This window comes from Homo sapiens, chromosome 13 (genome assembly GCF_000001405.40).
Source record: "Homo sapiens chromosome 13, GRCh38.p14 Primary Assembly".
Classification (NCBI taxonomy): domain Eukaryota; kingdom Metazoa; phylum Chordata; class Mammalia; order Primates; family Hominidae; genus Homo; species Homo sapiens.
Window position 1 is genome coordinate 96,047,486 of NC_000013.11, and position 6,530 is coordinate 96,054,015.

General features: G+C 42.9%; 1 protein-coding gene across 9 annotated transcripts in view, besides 1 other annotated feature; it reads right to left on the reverse strand.

Annotated features, from left to right (window-relative positions):
* The window catches only part of UGGT2 (UDP-glucose glycoprotein glucosyltransferase 2), a 251,822-nt gene extending 245,906 nt beyond the window's left edge, over nucleotides 1-5,916 (reverse strand). For all 9 annotated transcript variants that reach the window (XR_931617.2, XM_047430471.1, NM_020121.4 and 6 more), the window contains exon 1: nucleotides 5,670-5,916. Coding sequence is in view for 8 of the 9 variants with exons in the window: in XM_047430471.1 (XP_047286427.1) it covers nucleotides 5,670-5,827 (158 nt within the window). In the remaining variant the exon portion in view is untranslated. The remainder of the gene's footprint in view (nucleotides 1-5,669) is intronic.
* Nucleotides 5,678-6,177: an enhancer, noted in NCBI's record as "H3K27ac hESC enhancer chr13:96705417-96705916 (GRCh37/hg19 assembly coordinates)". NCBI's record gives its function as "activates a minimal SCP1, AML or CMV promoter by ChIP-STARR-seq in primed H9 embryonic stem cells {active_cell/tissue: H9 hESC(primed)}" and the evidence as "EXISTENCE:reporter gene assay evidence [ECO:0000049][PMID:30033119]".

The window sequence follows — 6,530 nt, forward strand, 5'->3', positions numbered from 1 at the left end:
GACCAAAGGTAGATAAAACCACAAAGATGGGGAGAAACCAGAGCAGAAAAGCTGCAAATTCTAAAAATCAGAGTGCCTCTTCTCCTCCAAAGGAACGCAGCTCCTTGCTATGTGAGAGAGACACACATAGGCTCAAAATAAAGGGATGGAGGAAGATCTACCAAGCAAATGGGAAACAAAAAAAAGCAGGGGTTGCAATCCTAGTCTCTGATAAAACAGACTTTAAACCAACAAAGATCAGAAGAGACAAAGAAGGCCATTACATAATGGTAAAGGGATTAATTCAACAAGAAGAGCTAACTATCCTAAATACATATGCACCCAATACAGGAGCAACTAGATTCATAAAGCAAGTCCTTAGAGACCTAGAAAGAGATTTAGACTCCCACACAATAATAATGGGAGACTTTAACACCCCACTGTCAACATTAGACAGATCAACGAGACAGAAAGTTAACAAGGATATCCAGGAATTGAACTCAGCTCTGCACCAAGCAGACCTAATAGACATCTACAGAACTCTCCACCCCAAATCAACAGAATATACGTTCTTCTCAGCACCACACCGCACTTATTCCAAAATTGACCACATAGTTGCAAGTAAAGGACTCCTCAGCAAATGTAAAAGAAGAGAAATTATAACATACTGTCTCTCAGACAACAGCAATCAAACTAGAACTCAAGATTAAGAAATTCACTCATAACCACTCAACTACATGAAAACTGAACAACCTGCTCCTGAATGACTACTGGGTACATAACAAAATGAAGGCAGAAATAAAGCTGTTCTTTGAAACCAATAAGAACAAAGACACAACATACCAGAATCTCTGGGACACATTTAAAGCAGTGTGTAGAGGGAAATTTATAGCACTAAATGTCCACAAGAGAAAGCAGGAAAGATCTAAAATTGACACCCTAACATCAAATTAAAAGAACTAGAGAAGCAGGAGCAACCACATTCAAAAGCTAGCAGAAGGCAAGAAATAACTAAGATCAGAGCAAAACTGAAGGAGATAGAGACACAAGAAAACCATTCAAAAAAATATCAATGAATTCAGGAGCTGGTTTTTTGAAAAGATCAACAAAATTGATAGACCGCTAGCAAGACTAATAAAGAAGAAAAGAGAAGAATCAAATAGATGCAATAAAAAATGATAAAGGGGATATCACTACCAATCCCACAGAAATCCAAACTACCATCAGAGAATACTATAAACACCTCTACGCAAATAAACTAGAAAATCTAGAAGAAATGGATAAATTCCTGTACACATACACCCTCCCAAGACTAAACCAGGAAGAAGTTGAATCCCTGAATACACCAATAACAGGCTCTGAAATTGAGGCAATAATAGCCTACCAAACAAAAAAAGTCCAGGACCAGACAGATTCACAGCCAAATTGTACCAAAGGTACAAAGAGGAGCTGGTACCATTCTTTCTTAAACTATTCCAATTGATACAAAAAAAGGGAATCCTCCCTAACTCATTTTATAAGGCCAGCATCATCCTGATACCAAAGCCTGGCAGAGACACAACAAAAAAAGAGAATTTTAGACCAATATCCCTGATGAACATCAATGCAAAAACCTCAATAAAATACTGGCAAACCAAATCCAGCAGCATCTCAAAAAGCTTATCCACCATGATCAAGTGGGCTTCATCCCTGGGATGCAAGGCTGTTTCAACATATGCAAATCAATAAACATAATTCATCATATAAACAGAACCAAAGACAAAAACCACATGATTATCTTAATAGATGCAGAAAAGGCCTTTGACAAAATTCAACAGCCCTTCATGCTAAAAACTCTCAAATTAGGTATTGATGGGACATATCTCAAAATAATAAGAGCTATTTATGACAAATCTGCAGCCAATATCATACTGAATGGGCAAAATCTGGAAGCATTCCCTTTGAAAACTGGCACAAGACAAGGATGCCCTCTCTCACCACTCCTATTCAACACAGTGTTGGAAGTTCTGGCCAGGGCAATCAGGCAGGAGAAAGAAATAAAGGGTATTCAATTAGGAAAAGAGGAAGTCAAATTGTCCCTGTTGGCAGATGATATGATTGTATATTTAGAAAACCCCATCATCTCAGCCCAAAATCTCCTTAAGCTGATAAGCAACTTCAGCAAAGTCTCAGGATACAAAATCAATGTACAAAAATCACAAGCATTGCTCTATGCCAATAACAGACAAACAGAGGGCCAAATCATGAGTGAACTCCCATTCACAATTGCTTCAAAGAGAATAAAATACCTAGGAATCCAACTTACAAGGGATGTGAAGGACCTCTTCAAAGAGAACTACAAACCACTGCTCAAAAAAATAAAAGAGGACACAAACAAATGGAAGAATATTCCATGCTCATGGATAGGAAGAATCAGTATCGTGAAAACGGCCATACTGCCCAAGGTAATTTATAGATTCAATGCCATCCCCATCAAGCTACCAATGACTTTCTTCACAAAATTGGAAAAAACTACTTTAAAGTTCATATGGATACAAAAGAGAGCTCGCATTGCCAAGACAATCCTAAGCAAAAAGAACAAAGCTGGAGGCATCACGCTACCTGACTTCAAACTATACTATAAGGCTACAGTAACCAAAACACCATGGTACTGGTGCCAAAATAGAGATATAGACCAATGGAACAGAGCAGAGCCCTCAGAAATAATACCACACATCTACAACCATCTGATCTTTGACAAATCTGACAAAAACAAGAAATGGGGAAAGGATTCCCTATTTAATAAATGGTGCTGGAAAAACTGGCTAGCCATATGTAGAAAGCTGAAACTGGATCCCTTCCTTACACCTTATACAAAAATTAATTCAAGATGGACTAAAGACTTAAATGTTAGATCTAAAACCATAAAAACTCTAGAAGAAAACCTAGGCAATACCATTCAGGACATAGGCATGGGCAAGGACTTCATGTCTAAAACACCAAAAGCAATGGCAACAAAAGCCAAAACTGACAAATGGGATCTAATTAAAGTAAAGAGCATCTGCACAGCAAAAGAAACTACCATCAGAGTGAACAGGCAACCTACAGAATGGGAGAAAATTTTTGCAATCTACCCATCTGACCAAGGGCTAATATCCAGAATCTACAAAGAACTTAAACAAATTTACAAGAAAAAAATTAAACGACCCCATCAAAAAGTGGGTGAAGGATATGAACAGACACTTCTCAAAAGAAGACATTTATGCAACCAACAGACACATGAAAAAATTCTCATCATCACTGGCCATCAGAGAAATGCAAATCAAAACCACAATGAGATACCATCTCACACCAGTTAGAAGGGCGATCATTAAAAAGTCAGGAAACAACAGGTGCTGGAGAGGATGTGGAGAAATAGGGACACTTTTACACTGTTGGTGGGACTGTAAACTAGTTCAACCATTGTGGAAGACATTGTGGCGATTCCTCAAGGATGTAGGACTAGAAATACCATTTGACCCAGCCATCCCATTACTGGGTATATACCCAAAGGATTATAAATCATGCTGCTATAAAGACACATGCACACACATGTTTATTGCGGCACTATTCACAATAGCAAAGACTTGGAACCAACCCAAATGTCCGTCAATGATAGACTGGATTAAGAAAATGTGGCACATATACACCACGGAATACTATGCAGCCATAAAAAAGGATGAGTTCATGTCCTTTGTAGGGACATGCATGCAGCTGGAAACCATCATTCTCAGCAAACTATCACAAGGATAGAAAACCAAACACCTCATGTTCTCACTCATAGGTGGGAACTGAACAATGAGAATACTTGGACACACAATGGGGAACATCACACACCAGGGCCTGTTGTGGGGTTGGGGGAGCGGGGGATAGCATTAGGAGATACACCTAATGTAAATGATGAGTTAATGGGTGCAGCACACCAACATGGCACATGTATATCTATGTACCTGCACGTTGTGCACATGTACCCTAGAACTTAAAGTATAATAATAAAAAAAATAGCTGGGACTTAATTAAACTAAACAGCTTTTGCACGGCAAAAGGAATAGTCAGCAGAGTAAACAGACAACCCACAAAACGGGAGAAAATCTTCACAATCTATACATCTGAAAAAGGATTAATATCCAGAATCTACAAGGAACTCAAATCAGCAGGAAAAAAAAAACAGTCCCATCAAAAAGTGGGCTAAGGACATGAATAGACAATTCTCAAAAGATATATAAATGGCTAACATGAAAAAATGCTCAACATACTAATGATCAGGGAAACACAAATCAAAACCACAATGCGATACCACCTTACTCCTGCAAGAATGGCCATAATAAAAAAATAAAAATAAATAATAGATGTTGGCGTGGATGCAGCGAACAGGGAACACTTCTACACTGCTGGTGGGAATGTAAACTAGTATAACCACTATGGAAAACAGTGTGGGGAGTCCTCAAAGTACTAAGAGTAGATCTACCATTTGATCCAGCAATCCCACTACTAGGTATCTACCCAGAGGAAAAGAAGTCATGAAAAAGATAGTTGCACAAGTATGTTTATAGCAGCACAATTCACAAGTGCAAAAATGTGGAACCAATCCAAATACCCATCAATCAACGAGTGGATAAACTGTGGCATATATATGATGGAACACTACTCAGCCATAAAAAGGAATCAATTAATGGCATTCACAGCAACCTGGATGAGATTAGAGACTATTATTCTAAGTGAAGTAAGTCAGAAATGGAAAACCAAATATAGTATGTTCTCACTGATATGTGGGAACTAAGCTATGAGGATGCAAAGGCATAAGATTGACACAATGGACTTCGGGGACTCGGGGGAAAGGTTGAGAAGGGAGTGAGGGATAAAAGACTACAAATTGGGTGCAGTGTATATACTGATGGGGTGATGGGTGTACCAAAATCTCAGAAATCACCACTAAAGAACTTACTCATGTAACCAAACACCACCTGTTCCCCAATAAACTATAGAAATGAAAAAAAAAAAGAACTTTTAGCATCAAATACATGAACTTATGTGGAGTCATGGAGTCTCTTTTTAGGGACACACACTGTTGCTGTGGTGAACAGCCATTAAGTCATTGGTGTAAAACTTCATTTTTGCTAAGAGAAAGAACTTTCTAATTTTACTCAACTAGAATACTAAAGGGCAAAATGCAATAGCTACAAGTTTTGTTCTGCAGAGTAAATGACAGGTCATGAACTAATTCCGTTGGAAGAGATACAGGAAAAATATTACCTTGCAGGAAGCTGCCCTCCCCATAGTAAGCCTAGGAGCTGATGGTATGATGTCATCATTACGAAACTAGGTACTTTAAGCACTGTCTGAACAGAACTGCCTACCCCAGTAGAAGCTCTTGCGTTAAGTGCCACGCGTAAATGCTAATACATCCCAACGTATTAAAGCAGGGCAGGGAAGCTTTAAAAATCGTAGGTAAAGTAAGACTGAGGGGGAAAGGAACTGCAAGTGAGTGCTGCACGGGAACCGAGAAGCCGCCCCGGGTCGGGAAGGAAGGAGGTGGTGATGCTCAGGGCCAGAGCGGGGGCGTCTGGAGAACCCGGGTGGGAGCCAGACACCCGCTGCGAGCACGAAGAAAGCGCGGCTGAGGGTGGCAGCGCGCCCACACCCGCCCGGACGAGGGCCCGGCCCGCACCCACCTTGCCTCCAGCAGCAGCGGGGTCTCGGGCCACTTCGCGGCCAAGTGGGCAGTCACCGACTTGGACGCGGCGACCGTCCCGGAGCCGAGCTGCGAAAGCCACAGCGCTGTGGAGCCTAGTAGCAGCCGCACCACGTTCGTGGCTTTCGCTGGCGCCATGGCACGGAGAGAAAAGCGCGAGTCCCTCGGACCCGGTACCCACAGTCTGTGGCCGCCACGCTTCGGCCGGCTCTTCCCGCTGCGCGGCTGCCCACTTCCGGTGGGAGGAGCTCGAGTCCGTTACTGGGTGCCGGGTCCAGACCGGCGCATGCGTGTCCCGCTCCGGCGCGGTTTAGTGGGTGCGGCCTGGAGAGCCCACGCCAGCCGGACACTGGGCCACGTCGGAGCCGCCGGGGCGGCGCCGGGTTGCTGAGCGGCGTCACAGATGCTCCCGCGGGTCCGCTCCCGCGGGTCCATTCCCAGGACTTTGGGTTCTCGGACAGAGGCCTTAGGACACGGGGCGGGAAGCTGGCTCTCCAGACCGAACTAGGGCTCTGGAGTTGCCAAAATCTGGAAGCAAAGTCAGGACCACTTGCATATTGTCCACCTTTTACATAGGAGGAAAATAAGTCCAGTTAAAGTTGAAGTCCCCACCTCACGCAGTTCTCAAGTGTTACTACAGGTTGGAATCACCTGGGAGAGCTTTTATAAGGCCGCCGCCAAGGCCACGCCCCGTACCTGAGAATCTCGGGAGGGGGGGTGAGATGCGGCATCAGTAGTATTAGTTAAAATCCGCAGGCCGGGCGCGGTGGCTCACGCCTGTAATCCCAGCACTTTGGGAGGCCGAGGCGGGCGGATCACGAGGTCAGGAGATCGAGACCAT